General features: G+C 40.4%; 1 protein-coding gene across 3 annotated transcripts in view; it reads left to right on the plus strand.

Annotated features, from left to right (window-relative positions):
- The window catches only part of SNX18 (sorting nexin 18), a 130,247-nt gene that overhangs the window by 73,478 nt on the left and 38,306 nt on the right, over positions 1-18,463 (plus strand). For 2 of the 3 annotated variants that reach the window (XR_007058577.1, XR_001741987.2), the window contains exon 2: positions 15,167-15,270. Coding sequence is in view for 1 of the 3 variants with exons in the window: in XM_017008997.2 (XP_016864486.1) it covers positions 15,167-15,171 (5 nt within the window). In the remaining 2 variants the exon portion in view is untranslated. Of the gene's footprint in view, positions 1-15,166; positions 16,192-18,463 lie in introns of those variants that run through there. The other variant, XM_017008997.2, reaches the window with a different exon arrangement.

Below are 18,463 nucleotides of genomic sequence, written 5' to 3' on the forward strand. Positions count from 1 at the left end.
TGGTGTGATCATAGTTCATTACAGCCTCAACCTCCTGGGTTCAAGCAATCTTCCCACCTCAGCCCCCAGAGTAGCTGGGACTACAGGCCTGCTGTACATCTCCTGGCTAATTTTTAAATTGTATTATTACTTTTTGTAGCAATGGGGTCTTGCTATATTGCCCAGGCTGGTCTCGAACTCCTTGGCCCAAACAATCCTCCTGCCTTGGCCTCCCAAAGTGCTGGGATTACAGGTGTGAGCCACCATGCTCAGCCTGTCTTGGACCTTTGGCTGCAAAGTGCTGAGCACAGAGCCATGCAAGGGAAGGTGGGCAGGAAAGCTTGCACCATTTGTTGGTGGCACTGTGAGCACTCAAAATGATGTCCCCCTTTGACTACTGTGGTAGATGTCACTAATGTTCTCCTTTACCTCCTAGTAGAAAGAGAAATATCTTTTCTGCCCTTTCGAAGTTAGGTGTAACCATGTGACTTGCATTGGCATAAGAATTAAGAGCTTCCACACTTTGCCCCAGTCACAGTTGTCAGAGCAGTGCATACAAATGTGTTTTTAGACAGAGGTGCCACAAGAGCAAAGAATCCTGGATCATTGAGCTGTCACCTGAGGAGAGTCACCCTGACCCCCAATGAGCTTTGCATGTGCAAGAAATAAATATTTGTTGTTTTAAGCCACTACGAGTTTTGGAGATTGTTTGTTGCTAACAAATATCTTGGCCTATCCTGGCTGATATAACTACCTTCTGTACTTTGCTTACTCTGTCCATATTTCAATTGTTTATTAATCATAAGGTGCCCTGTGAAAGCAAAAGTCAGGCTAGTGGCTCTTATGGTCTTTAACAAATGTGATGGCAACATATCACTTTCAAAATTGTTCAAAAGGCTTCACTTGGGAAATGTGCCAGAGGGGAGCTATTGCTTTTCTTCATCTGCCCCTTTACTATACCCTCGCCTCCCACTTCCTTCCCACACATGGTGACCTGGGACACTTCATGTGAGATCTGCCGAATTTGGCCTCCACAACTCCAGAATCAACCTTCCCTTCTTTTCTTCATCTCACCTGAGCTGCCTCCACCTCACGACACTCTTCTCAGATGGGTGTTACAGAGGTGCCAGGAATTCTTCTAGAAGTAACTAACTCCTAGCACTTGTGAAATCAAAGCCCATGGACAACAAATTGCTCTCCATTTGTGGACACATGGCTTCCCTGAATGTGCAAGACAGATCTAATTCTCAATGGTTGCCTGGCACTGGTTAGCTCTGGACCCACGGACACTTTCACTGGTAAAATTACTGAGATGATGATCGTGAAGCTTAATGAACAAAACATGACTAAATTAACTTGTGGTCAGTCAACAATTCAATCCGAGGACACTGACACTGTCTCCCACAATTGGCTTGACTGTAACAGGGCAATGCATGAATAACATAGGGAGACTGAGCTTTGCCTTTGGATAAATGTTCTACACTTGCCAACATAGGAGAGCAGTGGATTTTCAATGTAAGATGATAATGACGTGGGTTTGTTCTCATTTCTGCCTCTTGCTGAGTCCTTACCCTAGAAAAATCACAATTCTGTTTTTGTTTTTGAGATGGAGTCTCACTCTGTCATCTAGGCTGGAGTGCAGTGGAGCAATCTCAGCTCACTGCAACCTCCACCTCCCAGGTTCAAGCGATTCTCATGCCTCAGCCTCCCAAGTAGCTGGGATTATAGGCGTGTGCCACCACACCTTGCTAATTTTTGTATTTTTAGTAGAGACCGGGTTTCATCATGTTGGCCAGGCTGGTCTCAAACCCCTGACCTCATGTGATCCACACGCCTCAGCCTCCCAAAGTACTGGGATTACAGGCATGAGCCACTATGCCTGGCCCCACAAATATATTATTGATAGTCGGCTGCTCTATGAAAAAAATTCTAAGGGATCTACCTTCAGGAATATAGGTAAGTGAAAGTTGCAATTTTCTCTGGAAGGAATTTTAATTGTAGACATTTTAATTTACATTAAATCATTAATATATTTTCCTGTAACTCACTGTATAAGAAATCTTTCCTTCAGAACCTAATGGGGCTCAAAAGTAAAAATAAAAGTAAAAAGTCTTTCTTGACTGATCCTGGAGATTGGAGTGGGGAGAAACTACAGCAAGTTAAGAATAGAGTCTGGGCCTTAATAAATTGACAGATATACCATGTTCATAGATTGGAAGATTGAAGATTGAATATTGTTAAGACATTAATTATCCACAAAATGATCTATAGATCCAACTCATTACCTGTCAAAATCTCAGCAGTATTTTTTGTAGAAATTGATGATCATGTTCTAAAGTGTATATGAAAATACAAAGAACCTGGAAGAGCCAAAACAAATTTGAGAAAGATGAACGAACTTGGAACACTTATATGACCCGATTTCTAGACTTAAAGCTACAGTAATCCACAGAGTGTGGTGTTGGTGAAAGGATAGACATATAGACTACTGAAAAAACTATTCTTAACCTGGGCCCATTCATATATTGCTAACTGATTTTGACAGAGGTGCTAAGGTAATTCCATGGGGAAGGTATAGTCCTCTCAACAAATGGTGTAGAAACAATTGGATATCTACATAGGAAAAAAATGAATTTCAGTCTTCATCTATTATGGAAAACTCAACTTGAAATGGATCATAGACCTAATGATAAGAGTTAAAACTATAAAACTTAAAGAAAAGATAAGAAATCCTTGTGATCTTGGGTAGACAAACATTTCCTAGAGAGGCAACAGAGGCATGAGCTATAAAACAGATAATTGCCATAAAAGAGCCATAAAAATAAATGATAAGTAAATTGTTTCATGTTCATACAAAGCAACCCTACTCAGCATTACCAAGGAATAAACTGCTGATACATGCAACAATATGGTAATCTCAAAAGCACAATACTAAGTGAAAGATGCCAAATGCAAAAGATTACAGGCTATATTATTTCATTTGTATGAAATTTTAGAAAAAGCAAAACTTTAGTGTTAGAAAGCAGATCAGTCTTTGCATGGAGCCAGGGCAAGTGTCTAACTGCAAAGGGACATAAGGAAACTTTTGGAAAATATGCCTTGTGGTGCTGATTGTGTGACCATATGCATTTGTCAAAACTCATGAGACTGTACCCTTATGTGCAGAAAAGAGTTAACACAGCCAATCTGAGGTTGCTATTCTTAGAAAGGCCTGCTTGGAAGGTTGGCTCTTGGATGGTGTCTGGGAACTTGGATTTTTGGAGTCTTCTCACTGTTCTCTAACTTATGAGGGTGGTTTGCTGTGTCTAGACTGTTTATGCAAATAATGTGCTTTATGCTAAACATCTGCTTTCCTTCTGGAAGTTCTGGAATTTTGGTACACGTTAGGCAAAGGTGCCTATGTAAATAGCCCCCAGTTAAAACCTTGAGACTGAGTCTTTAATGGGCTCTCTGGGGAGAAAATTCACCCAAATTGTATTTTAAAAATACAATTTCAACTTCTATTTTAGATTCAGGGGTATTACGTGATGCTAAGTTTTGGGGTACGATTGATCCTATCACCCAGGTAGTGAGCATAATACTCAATAGTTTTTAACTCTCACCCTTCTCCCTCCCTCTCCTTCTAGTAATCCCTAGTGTCTATTGTTGCCATCTTTATGTCCATGAATACCCAATGTTTAGCTCCGTCTTATAAATGAGCACATGCAGTATTTGGTTTTCTTTTCCTGCATTAATTCACTTAGGATAATGGCCTCCAGATGCATCTATGTTGCTGCAAAGGACATTATTTCATTCTTTATGTTTGTGTAGTATTCTGTGGTGTATATATACTACATTTTCTTCATTTAATCCACTGTTGATGGGCACCTAGGTTGATTCCATGTCTTTGCTATTATGAATAGTGCTACAATAAACATACAAATATATGTGTCTTTTTTGATTAAACAATTTGTTTTCTTTTGGGTATATACCCAGTAATGGGATTGCTAGGCTGAATGATAGCTCTGCTTTAATTTAATTAATTTATTTTTATTTTTTGAGATGGAGTCTCGCTCTGTCACTCAGGCTAGAGTGCAGTGGCACAATCTCAGCTCACTGTAACCTCTGCCTCTCAGGTTCAAGAGATTCTCCTGCCTCAGCCTCCTGAGCAGCTGGGACTACAGGCACGCGCCACCATGCCCAGCTAATTTTTTGTATTTTTAGTAGAGACAGGGTTTCACCATATTGGCCAGGCTGGTCTCCAACTCCTGACCTCATGATCCACCCGCCTCAGCCTCCCAAAGTGCTGGGATTATAGGTGTGAGCCACCGCGCCTAGCCTGCTTTAAGTTCTTTCAGAAATCTCCAAACTACTTTCCACAGTGGCTAAACTAATTTACATTCCCACTGACAGTGTATAACATTCCCTTCTCTCTGCAGCCTCACCAGCACCTGTTGTTTTTTTGACTTTTTAATAATAACCATTCCAATGGGACACACGTTGTATTGGTGTCTTAGGGCTGCTGTAACAAATTGTCACAAACTAGGTGGCTTAAAACAGATTTATTCTCTCACAATTTTGGAGGCCAAAAGTCTGAAATAAAGATATTGGTAGGGCTGAACTCCCTTCAGAGGCTTTAGGAGAGATTCCATTCCTTGCCTCTTCCAACTTCTGGTGGTTTCCCAGGCATGTGACTGCATCATTCCTATCTCTGTCTCCATAGTCACATTTCCTCCTCCTTTTCTCTGTGCCTGTCTCTCCCCTGTGTTTCATTTATAAGGAAAGCCTTGGGATCCCTCTGGCCCTTTCCTCCCTCCCAAATCTCTTCTTGGCTACTAGGCTGGCCTTGTGGTCAGAGTGGGTGTCAACCACCAGCTGGAAAGACCTCTGATCTCCAGAGTCCCTTGTCATTTCCAGATAATGCCAACAGCATTGCTACTGGAGAGAACCATTCCAGAGTCTTGGTCTTCCCCTTTTAAAATGCAAATATCTGTGACAAAGCGGATAAAATTATGTGTAGAGTATAACGCTTTTCTTATGATGTTATTTGAAAAAGGAATTGTATAATATAACACAAATGAGCTTATGGTGGTGTCCTCCCGTCTGAGGGCCAGCACTATAGCTCTCCCCACCATCTCTACCAAAACAGACTCTTTGGGAATAATGAGAGCATCCTGATGGAGGAAAAGGGGCCTAGGAGAGGCTGAGGCTTTTAAAAAGGCCTTCATCTACATTGGGCATTTGTTCAGCATTCGCCTGCTTTGCTAATTTGGTTGCTGCATGCCCACTTTGGGACAAGAAGGAAAGCACTCTTCTCCAATACATCAACTAGATGATTAATAAATGAAGAAGTGAAGTTCATACTCATTGCTAGCTCTGGTACCATAGCAGCAGAGGCCATCTGTAGCAGCATGTTCCACTTTAGGGGTTAGATGACCTAGATTCTATGACCTTCCACAGCCACCAACTGGCTGTTCTGTACCCTTAGCAAGTCACATTCTGCTTAGATCTCAATTTTCTTATCTGTCCATGAGACAGATAGCACCTACTCTATCCTCTCTATAGATTTTTACAGCATTGCAGCCATCAGAATGAGGGAACCTGCAGTAGGAATGGATGTGCCCCTTTCCCCTCCCTTTCTTACATTGGTTCCCTGGGCAGTGTGTACTTGGGTATTGGTTAGTATCTGGGACTGGTGACCAGAGAGGTCTCTCGACCAGATGCAGATGAGTGGATCAAAAAAGGATGTACTGACACGAAGTGGCAAGCTGGATAAAGAGTCAAAATCCAGCGGTGTGTTATATTCAAGAGACCCATCTCACATGCAAGGGCACACATTGACTCAAAATAAAAGGATGGAAGAAAATTTACCAAGCAAATGGGAAACAGCAAAAAGCAGGGGTTGCAATCCTAGTTTCTGACAAAATAGACTTTAAATCAACAAAGATCAAAAGAGACAAAGAAGGGCATTACATATTGGTAAAGCGGAGCTAACTATCCTAAATATATATGCACCCAATACAGGAGCACCCAGATTCATAAAACAAGTTCTTAGAGACCTACAAAGAAACTCAGACTCCCACACAATAATAGTGGGAGACTTTAACACTCCACTGTCAATATTAGATAGAACATCGAGACAGAAAATTAACAAAGATATTCAGGACTTGAACTCAGCCCTGGGCCAAGTTGACCTGATAGATATCTACACCTACAGATCTTTCCACCCCAGAAGGACAGAATATACATTCTTCTTGGTACCACATGACACTTACTCCAAAACTGATCCCATAATTAGAAGTAAATCACTCCTCAGCAAATGCAAAAGACTGAAACCATAACAGTCTCTCAGACCACAGCACAATCAAATTAGAACTCAAAAGTAAGAAACTTATTCAAAATCACACAACCACATGGAACTTTAACAGCCTGCTCCTGAATGACTCCTTAGTAAAACATGAAATTAAGGTGGAAATTAAGAAGTTCTTTGAAACCAATGAAAACAAAGAAAACGTACCAGAATCTCTGGGATGCAGCTAAAGCAGTGTTAAGAGGGAGATTTATAGCACTAAATGCTCACATCAAAAAACTAGAAAGATCTCAAATCTACACCCTAGCACCACAACAAAAATAACTAGAGAACAAAAAGCAGACAAACCCCAAAGCTAGCAGAAGACAAGAAATAACCAAGATCAGAGCAGAACTGAAGGATATAGAGACACAAAAAAACCCTTCAAAAAAATCAATGGATTCAGGAGCTGGTTTTTTGAAAAAATTAATAAGATACATAGACTACTAGCTAGACTAATAAAGAAGAAAAAAGAGAAGAATCAAATAGACACAATAAAAAATGATAGAGGTATCAGCACGGATCCCACAGAAATACAACTATCCGAGAATAAACAGTTTTATGCAAATAAACTAGGAAATCTAGAAGAAATGGATAAATTCCTAGACACATACACCCTCCCAAGACTGAACTGGGAAGAAGTTGAATCCCTGAATAGACCAATAGCAAGTTCCAAAATCGAGGCAGTAATAAATAGCCCACCAACCAAAAAAAGCCCAGGGCCAGATGGATTTACAGCTGAATTCTACCAGAACTCAGCTCCTACAAAGAGGAGCTGATACCATTTCTTCTGCAATTATTCCAAACAATTGAAAAGGAGGGACTCCTCCCTAACTCATTCTATGAGGCCAGGCCTGATACCAAAAACCGACAGAGATAAAACAAAAAAAGAAAACTTCAGGCCAATATCCCTGATGAACATCAATGTAAAAATTCTCAATAAAATACTGGCAAACCGAATCCAGCAGCACATCAAGGAGCTTATCCACCATGATCAAGTTAGCTTTATTCCTGGGATGCAAGGCTGGTTCAACATACGCAAATCAATAAATGTAATCCATCACATAAACGGATCTAAAGACAAAAACCACATGATTATCTCAATAGACACATAAAGGACTTTGATAAAATTCAGCATCCCTTTTTGTTAAAAAACTCTCAATAAACTAGGTATTGAAGGAACATACCTCAAACGAATAGGAGCCATTTATGACAAACCCACAGCCAATAGCATACTGAATGGACAAAAGCTGGAAACACTCCCCTTGAAAACTGGCACAAGATATGGATGCCCTCTCTCACCACTCCTATTCAACTTAGTATTGGAAGTTCTGGCCAGGGCAATCAGGCAAAAGAAAGAAATAAAGGTATTCAAATATGAAGGGAGGAAGTCAAAATGTCTTTGTCTGCAGATGACATGATCCTATATTTGGAAAACCCCATTGTCTCAGCCCAAAACTTCTTAAGCTGATAAGCAACTTCAGCAAAGTCTCAGAATAAAAAATCAATGTGCAGAAGTCATAAGTATTCTTATACACCAACAACAGGCAAGCAGAGAGCCAAATTGTGAGTGAACTCCCATTCACAGTTGCTACAAAGAGAATTGTATCTCTGTCAGGTTTTGGTATCATGACAATGCTGGCCTCATAGAATGTGTTAGAAAGGAATCCATCCTTTTCAATTCACAATTGCTACAAAGAGAGTAAAATACCTAAGAATACAGTTAACAAGGGAAATGAAGGACCTCTTCAAGGAGAACTATAAACTTCTGCTCAAGGAAGCCAGAGAGGACACAAACTAATGAAAAAATATTCCGTGCTCATGGATAGAAAGAATCCATATCATGAAAACGGCCATACTACCCAAAATAATTTATAGATTCAATGCTATTCCCATTAAACTACCATTGACATTCTTCACAAAATTAGAAAAAACTATTTTAAAATTTATATGGAACCAAAAAAGAGCCCATATAGCCAAGTCAATTCTAAAGAAAAAGAACAAAGCTGGAGGCATCACCCTACCAGACTTCATTCAAACTATACTAAAAGGCTACAATAGCCAAAACAGCATGGTACTGGTACAAAAACAGACACATAGACCAATGAAACAGAATAGAGAACTCAGAAATAAGATCACACATCTGCAACCATCTGATCTTCAACAAACTTGACAAAAACAAGCAATGGGGAAAGGACTTCCTATTCAAAAAATGGTGCTAGGAAAACTGGCTATCCATTTGCAGAAAATTGAAACTGGACCACTTCCTCACACCTTATACAAAAATTAACTCAAGATGGATTAAAGACTTAAATGTCAAACGCAAAACTATAAAAACTCTGGAAGAAAGTCTAGACAATACCATACAGGACAGAGGCATGGGCAAAGATTTCATGATAAAATCACCAAAAGCAATTGCAACAAAAGCAAAAATTGACAAATGGGGTCTAATTAAACTAAAGAATTTCTGCACAGTAAAAGAAACTCAGAGTGAACAGGCAACAAACAGAGTGGGAGAAAATCTTCACAGTCTATCCATCCAACAAAGGTCTAATATCCAGTGTCCACAAGGAATTCAAATTTACAAGAAAAAACAAACAACCTCATTAAAAGGTGGGCAAAGGACATGAACAGACCCCTCTCAAAAGAAGAATTCATGCAGCCAACAAACATATGAAAAAAAGCTCAACATCACCAATCATTAGAGAAATGCAAATCAAAAAACCACAATGAGATACCGTCTCATGCCAGTCAGAATAGCCATTATTAAAAAGTCAAGAAACAACAGATGCTGGCAAGGTTGCAGAGAAATAGGGACACTTTTACACTGTTGGTGGGAATGTAAATTAGTTCAACCATTATGGAAGATGGTATGGCAATTCCTCAAAGAGCTAGAACCAGAAATACCATTTGACCCAGCAATCCCATTACTGGGTATATACCAAAGGGAATATAAATCTTTCTGTTACAAAGATACATGCACACATATGTTCATTGCAGCACTATTCAGAATAGCAAGGACATGGAATCAACCCAAATGCCCATCAGTGATAAACTGGATAAAGAAAATGTGGTATAAATATACCATGGAATACTATGCAGCCATATAATGAATGAGATAATGTTCTTTGCAGGGATGTGGATGAAGCCAGAAGCCATTATCCTCAGCAAACTAACACAGGAACAGAAAACCAAAGGCCACATGTTCTCACTTATAACTGGGAGCTGAACAATGGGATCGCATGGACACAGAGAATGGAGCAACACACACTGGGACCTGTTGGCGGGGTGGGGTGGAGGGAGAGAGAGTATTAGGAAGGATGGCTAATGGATGTTGGGCTTAATACCTAGGTGATGAGTTGATAGGTGCAGTAAACCACTATGGCACACTTTTATCTATGTAACAAACCTGCACATCCTGCACATGTACTAGAACATGTACCAGAACTAAAAATGATTTAAAAAGATGAACTATGGAAACTTTGTTGTCCATCAATCATCTATCCATTCATCTATTCCTCCCTCCATCCCTCCCGTCCTCCCTCTGTCTGTCCATCTGTCCATCCATCCATCCATCCATCCATGTAGTGATGTGCTGGAACACCTCTTCCCAACTCTGTATCCAATAATGGCTTGAAGTTGGCCATGTGGTAGTATAAATATCCTGAAAATCAAGTTGGCAGCCATTACAAATCATGGATTTTTGTAGATCCAGTTGTTAAACATTCACTAGCATGCCACTGATTCTATCTAGTCCTCTCTTTTATGTAACCATCTAACCATTTATCTATGCATTCATGGGACTCATATGAATTGGCTACCCAGGATGTACCAGGCACTCTGAGGCCCTTTGTATCTCTACTCTGAGCCTGAATGTTTGCTAGACTCTAACAGTGAGAGAGCATGAGGAGAGTCTTTGTTTTACTGCTTGCTTTGGTACATCCTGGGAAGAATTTCTGTCCCATGATTAGACCAGAAACTACGTGAGGCCTGAGGCAGGAAGCAGCCTAGCATGTGTGGATGAGCCAACTGCATCTTCCCTCCTGTTCATATTAGACAGCCTTTGCCCCAGGACAGTGACCAGCAGCAGCACAGGAAAGTGGGGGGAGGAGGGATGGCAGATGAAGTTCCACCCGAGGTTATCGTCCCCATAGTCCCCACTGGTTTCCAGTTCTGCCTTCTGCTCCTCTTGACCCTTCTCTCTTACTCTACTCAGTTTCTCCTCACTGTTGCATCACGTGAACTGGGGTTTACGCTCCTTCTTCCTCATTTCTCACCTGTCTGCTTCAGTCCATGAGGTAACAACACATGATCGGGAAAAAAATTGCAAACAATTTTTTAAAGAAAAAAAAGGGCACATTAGAAACCAGGAATTTGGAGCAGACTTTGGTGTGGTTTTAAGACACGTCTGGAGTTTTTCATAATTCCCTATTCTCTGTTGCACTGCTTGCCAACTTCCTGAAACTAGTGTTTCCTTTGACAGTTATCTTACACACCCTCCTTACACCCAATAGTCAGACAGTACTCGCTAAGTAAGCAAAGCTCCTCCAAGAATATGGCCCTACTGGAATGGCCATCCCTCAAGGCAGAGCCCTGGCAGTGATAAAGTGTTAGGAGATTTTTAAGTACAGAGAGATGTGGAATTGGAGGGGTGATTGAAGCTCTGTAAGCAAAGGCTGAAGACCTGAGGCTGCCTATCTGGGAATCACACAGGCCGCATAATATGGAGACAGCAGCTGGGTAGAGGCAGCTGGCCCCAATAGAGAGGGCAGGCAATGGCCAGGAGGATAGGTAGGTGTCACTGGGAAAATGGCCATAGTCTAGCAGGCTTTTGGAGCCTGCAAATGTTGAGATTCTAGGAGGGTCTTCTCACTGACCTTTGCCTCAAACACTGCTGGCTGAAATAAAGAGTGTTTCTAAGTAGCAGGAACTGACGGGACGTTAGCGGTGGCAGAGATCCGAGTTACCTGAGGCGAATCCATAGGAGTGTGCAGCAACTTCAGGGTGGACTTCCCTAAAAGAATTAGACTGAGGGGCATAAGGCAGAAGGAGAGACTGAGGCAAGTGTCAGAGCGGGAGTGAAAGTCTATTGAAAACTTTAGAACAGGAAGGAGAGGAAAGAAAGGAAGGAATATACAACTTGGAAGAGGGCCAAGTGGGTGACTTGAGAAACCAAGTACACAGCTTGATCTCTTGGCTTGGGGTTTTATACATTGGCCTCCTTCCGGGATCTTGCCTTACTTCTCCCCACTCCTGAGGTCTTACTGGGAAGCTGCTGATCAGTTTCAGGTGTTTTCTGTCCATTAGGAGACTGCCTTTCCCTGGCACTGGCTGTGAGCAATTATTACTTTAGAGAAGCAGTTAACAACTGCCTGACCATCACCTGATGGTCACCCAACACTCCTGGTGTGTATCGAGCCCTCTCCTGCCCTGCTCATACCTGACAAGCTACCTGCTGTAACCGAATTGGGGGAGAAACCTCATGGCAATGTTTCCAAGTATTATTTGGGCATTCTTTAACTTGGATTTTCCAACTGCATTCATCAACCAATTATTACACATAAAATGTATCATATGGTATCTGCGTATAATTTATTTCATATAATGTAGGGTTGTAAATATATTATTATTATATGGCATGAATAATCAGAATTATCAGGATCAAAGTTGTTTGGAAATTATTTAAAAATATATATATATATATATATTTTTTTAGAGATAGGCTATCACTCTGTCACCCAGGCTGGAGTGCAGTGGCACAACCATAGTACACTGGAGGCTCAAATGCCTGGGCTCAAGAAATTCTCCCACCTTGGCTTCCCAAAGTATTGGGACACAGGCATGAGCCACAATGCCTGGCCTAAAGAATTTTTAACCTAAGGACTGTTATCTGATCTTTTAAGAAGGCTTGAGAGATTTGAACTTATATTTTATCTGAACCCAAGACTCAAATCCTGGTTATGTTTTAGTCAAACCCAGCCAACATGCCTGAATTCCCAGAGGAAGATGATGTAATTTAAGAGATTTTTCAGCTGTTTTTGCTTCTTTCAGTCTTGGTTCTGGAAAATGCTAGAGTCCAGAAGCCAAAGAAAAAAGAATAAGAAAAAAAGAAAGTCAGAGTTTCCTGGAAGGCAACTGTCCTGGGGCTACACTGGGCATTTTTCTTTGCTAACTCCATTCTTACTGAAAAACGTCCTCCATTCTTACTAACACATAATTATCAGGTCAATCCTACTGAGTTCAGCCAAGAACACCAAACTACAACAAAGAATGGATATTTTCTTCAACTGGACAAGGATGTATTGAGTACCTTCTATGTGCTAAATGCTATGGTTACACAGGTGAATGACAGCTATCCTTGCCCTCAAGTGGGGGGTTTTGCAATCTATTTAAGAAGAACAAAGTGGAAAGGAGAAAGAACACTAACAATTACTGAAGATCTACCTCATTCTTTCATCTAACGAAAACTTTTTGAGTGTCCATTATGTGCCAAATATTGTTCAAGGTACTGGAGATTCAGGAATGGAGAAGACAGATGTGGTCCCTGCTCTCGTGAAGGTTTCATCCTAGTAGAGCAGACAAACACATTATAAAAATGCCATGCTGACAGTATGATGGCTTTTCAAAAAGTTAAACATAGAATTACCTTATGATCCAGCTGACAGTGTGGTGTCTTCTCAAAAAGTTAAACATAGAATTACCATATGATCTACCACTAGGTATAACACCTAAAGAATTGAAAACAGGGATTTAAACAGATATTTTGGGCACTGGCGTTCATATGAACATTATTCACTATAGCCAAAAGGTGGGAACAACCCAAAGGTCTACTGGCACACGAATGGATAAATGAAATGTGATAAGTACATACAATGAAATACTATTGTCTTAAGAAAGAATGACATTTTGGTACATGTTACAACATAAATAAACCGTGACAACATTATGCTAAGTGAAATAAGCCAGAAACAAAAGGACAGATATTGTGTCATTCCACTGATATGAGGTAATTTGAATAGGCAAATTCATAGAGACAGAAGGTATCATAGAGGTTACCAGGGGCTGGGAGAAGCAGGTAATAGGGTGTCACTATTAAATGGTACAGAATTTTAGTTTGGCAAGATGAAAAAGTCCTGGAAATGGATAGTAGTGATGGTTGTGCAACATTGTAAATATGCTTAATGTCACCGAATTGTATACTTTAAAAAATGGTTAAAATGGCAAAATTTGTGATGTATATTTTGCCACAATAAACAGACAAACCAAAAATGACATGCTGGTAAGGTAAGAGGATGACTGGATATTGATTTTAGATTGGATGTCTAGGGATGGCCTTTCTGAGGAGTGTCATCCACGCTGAGATCTGAATGTCAAGAATAAGAAAGAGGTAAGGCACAATCAGAAGGAAAAGCAGTCCCCGAATATGAAACTGTAAGATCAAATACCTGAAGGTAGACACAGGCTGGATATTGGAGGAACAGAAAGGAGACCCTCTGGTCTTCCTCTGGTGGAGGAAGTGTGAGGGGTGGTGAGTGATCAAAATGTAAGATCTAAGATGTAAGCAGGAGACTTTTTCCAGTCAGCATGAGGGCTGACTTCTACTGGACTTTATTCTACCTTAATAGGAACTCTCTGGGGGATTTTAAGCAGTTGAGTAACATGAGAAGGAGGAAATATATCCTGTTTTGGGCAATTTTAGATGGATTCATAGTGGTAACATTTTACCTGGGACTTAAGTCATAGACATTCATGGGGAGGAAAGCTAGCAAAATTGTTCCAGAGTAGTACCAGCAGAGACTCAGAGTTAGGGGTTTAGACTTTTTTTTAAAAAAAGCAATATTTAATTTGAAGATCTTAGAAAATGTAAAGCCACGCTTATCACAGTAGTGTGTTACGTACCAGGAACCACGTGGGCCATAGAGTAATCATCTTCTTGGAGTAAATTTTGCTCAGATTACTGAACTTTTTTACATAATTTTAACTAATTTTTTAGTTGAAAACAATGTTTTTTAAAAAGTTTAATTATATGTTTTATTTAACCCAAGATATCCAGAATAGTATTATTTTAACATAATCAACATAAAAATTATTGAGATTTTTTATGATCAATTTTGAAACTTATTTATTTATTTTTGAGGCAGGGTCTTGCACCGTCACCCAGGCTGGAGTGCAGTGGCACTATCGCAGCTCACTGAAGCCTCGAACTCCTGGGCTCAAGGGATCCTCCTGCCTCAGCCTCTCAAGTAGCTAGGACTACAGGCATGTGCCAACACACCCAGCTAAATCTAAAAACTTTTTTTTGTAGAGACAGGGTATCACTTTGTTGACCAGGCTAATCTTGAACTTCTGGGCTCCAGCAATTCTCCTGCCTCTGCCTCCCAAAGCGTTTGGATTATGGGTGTGAGCTACCACGCCCATCCTAATTTTGACACTTTAAAAAAATGTCACCACTTTTTAACAGTCATTTCTTCCTTTCCTTTGAATTGTGGTAAAATACACACAGTATAAAATTCAATATTGAAAATCATACTTTTATATTGCAATAAATAAAGATGTATTATGCAGTGTAATGTACTATTTGTATAGATTTTCCAGGCGTTTCAGGTTTTGGATGGCTGCCTGTGGCTACACACCAGACATCCATCCATTCATACATCTACTCTCATCTATTGTTAAGGAACATTTCATTAAAAAAGTTTGTGAATGACTGAATTGTAAATGACATCCCTGTATAAATGGTTATCAGATAATTCTTATATGAATCTTCTTTTGCTATTGATTCATCTATCATAAAAATAATCAGTTTTCAAGTTATTAGGCTGCCTCTGAATTTTATCTTGCCTTTCTTTGTATTTCCAGGTTAGTCCCTCTAAACATTTACCCAACTTTTGGTCTTTATGATAATGAAGACATCTGACCTCTGGTTGGCCATTGGATTGTTGAAGAGGACTTCGGGAGACCAGGTGGTTCACTGGGTCAGTTGGCTCAATTCAGAGGCATTCACTCATTCTTGCTCTTCGTCCCACCCCAGAGTGTCCTGTAATCTGAATGAACTCTCCCTCTCTGATCTAAGCATTTTTCGATTTGCAATTTTCATGGAGATAATTCTAGGTTTATATGCAATTTTAAGAAATCAGACGGCTAGATCTCGTGTATTCTTCACCCAGTTTCTCCCAATGTAACATTTTACAAAACATTAGTATAATATCACAACCAGGAGATTGACATTACTACAATCCATCCATCTTTTTCAGATTTTCCCAGCTTTATTTGTACTCACGTGTGTGTATGTGTGAAAATTGCACAGTTCCATAAAATGTTATCACCTGTATAGGTTTGTGTATCCACCACCACAGTCAAGATACTGACAGTTCCAACATCACAAGGATCCCTTATTTTGCCCATTTACAACCACTCCTACCTTCCTCACCCACCCCATCCCTATACCCTGGCAACCATTAACAAATATGTCCTCCAGTTTTGAAATGTCATTTCAAAAATGTTATATAAATGGATGCATACAGTATGCATTCTTTTGAGAAAGGCCTTTGTGTGGTTCCTGGGTAATAATAATGAGTCTGACTCCATTTTCTGATGTTTGCTAGTAGCTTTTATACCCCACTCTTCTCATTTCCCATTTTGCCCCACATCTGGGCAAGCTGATAAGAAAGCCTGGGTTCTTCTGTTGGCACTGAGATTCCAACCATGTGGGCCCCCGCCTGTGTGCAGGAACCCTCACCCCAGCCCCACTCCCCAACGCCTAAGAAAACTTCAAGTCAGTTTTCTTTCCCTGCTCTCTTACGCTGTTTTTGGACCTGTTTGGGAAGCTTTCCCAGCTGTCTCCAGAAAACCTCATTATGTGCGTAATAAACCTTTTCACACTCTTTCGATGTCTATCTGGTGTCATCATTTGAACCATAGTTTAGGTGGGAATTTATCCTATTTCTACAGAATGGCTACAATAACATAATTCTTGGATATTTATCCAATTTGTTGCCTGTATAGTATTCCATGGTAGGTATGCATCACAATTTGTTTAACCATTCACCTGTTGAAGGACATTTCTGGCCTTTCCACTTTTTAGCTATTACAAATAAAGCTGCTATGGGCCAGGCACTGTGGCTCATGCCTGTAGTCTCAGCACTCTGGGAGGCCGAGGCAGGCGGATCACTTGATGTCGGGAGTTCGCGACCAGCCTGGACAACATAGCAAAGCCCCATCTCCACAAAAAAATACAAAAATTAACCGGGCGTGGTGGTGGATGCCTGTAGGTCCAGTTACTCAGGAGGCTGAGGCAGGAGAATTGCTTGAACCTGGGAGGCAGAGTTTGCAGTGAGCCAAGATCATGCCACTGCACTCCAGCCTGGGTGACCGAGCAAGACTGTCTCAAAACAAACAAACAAACAAACAAACAAAAATAAAGCTGCTGTAAACTTCATGTGCAGGGTTTTATGTGAACATAAGTTTTCCTTTCCCTGTGATTAAATGCCCAGGAGTTCAATTGCTAGGTCATATGGTACTTACATAATTGCTTTTTAAAGAGACTGCCAAACTATTTTCCAGAGTAGTTGTACCATTTTGTGTTCCTATCAGCAATGTTTGAGGGATCCAGTTTCTCTGCATCCTCATCAGCATTTTATATGGTCACTATCTTTTTCTTTAGCCTTTCTGATAGGTGTGTGGTCATATTATGGCTTTAATTTGGCTTTCCCTAACGGCTAATGGTACTGAACATCTTTTCATGTGCTTATTTGCCATCCGTATAGCCTCTTTGGTGAAATGTCTCTTCATGTCTTTTGCCCATTTTCTAATATGAACTGTGCTTTTTATTTTTTATTTTATTGTATTATTTTTAAAGTTTTCTTATTTAAAAATAGAAATGGGATCTCACTATGTTGCCCAAGCTGGTCTTGAACTCCTGGGCTCAAGTAATCCTCCCACCTTGGCCTCCCAAAGTGCTGGAATTACAGGCATAAGGCACCACACCCAGCCGCCATGCTTTTTAAATAATGGATTGTGACCTGTTTGTGTACTGACAAGTACTTACTGGGATATGGAGATAGCCTGAGCTGTTTAAATAGTGTTATGAAATCAGTGTTGAAATAAACAGTTGAAGAAGGAAGGATGACTGGTGTGTCTGTGTGGGGGTGTATATGTGTATGCATAGTTGTGTACGACTGTAGCAGGTATTAATCTTAGTTCCCTATATTCAAGTGTGCATCACTTTATTTTCTTTAAATCATCTGAGTACCCATCCTCCTAGGCTGGTGGGAAATTCACACTCAGCCCTTGGTGTCTCTCCCTGCCCTCCAAAGTGTGTAAAGGTCATTAGGTCTTATTAAACACTCTGGCACAGGGAAGACTGTCACTCTAGTTTACAGCTGTGGGTCCACACTGTTTTCCACTAAAGCACCAGTCCATTGTCCCAACCTGTATATCTCATGCTGGGCAGCTCAGCTGCTAATTCCCCGTTCTTAGTGCATAGGACTCTGTGATGAGGTTGGGAGCATCTAATCTCCCATGTTTCCTCACAGCCTCTGAGGTCTTGACACCTTCTCACAGTCCAGTAGAAATTTCTGCAATGATGGAAATGTTCCATAACTACTCTGTCCAGTATGGTAGCCACTAGACATATGAGGCTATAGAGCACTTAAAATGCAGCTAGTGCCACCGAGGAGCTGAATTTTTAATTATATTTAATTTTAATTAATTTAGAACTTTAAAACCACACATGGATATTAACTATTGAGGTGGGCAGTACAGCCTAGGGGGTACTGCCACATTCTTGGTTATGATTTATCCTTCTCTTTTGGCTTTCTAACACCTGAAGAAAATCTCTCTTCCTTTCTTGTTGTCCCCAAAACACATCTTATCTCTCCTTGGGGACGTCATCCGCAATCTCTATGATGGTATTCATTTTCTATTTATTTACTTATTTATTTATAATATCTTATTTTTAGAGTCAGAGTCTTGCTATGTTGCTCAGGCTGGCCTCCAACTTCTGGCCTCAAGTGATCTCCCACCTCAGCCCCCTAAAGCTTAATTTTCATAAAAAACTGAAAAAGCCTCAAATCCTTCTATTTGTCCCACCCTGCAAAAGGGCTGAGATAAAAAAAATGCCAAGGATTTGGCTACCTCCTTGAAATTGAAAAGAAA

Source organism: Homo sapiens, chromosome 5 (assembly GCF_000001405.40).
Source record: "Homo sapiens chromosome 5, GRCh38.p14 Primary Assembly".
Classification (NCBI taxonomy): domain Eukaryota; kingdom Metazoa; phylum Chordata; class Mammalia; order Primates; family Hominidae; genus Homo; species Homo sapiens.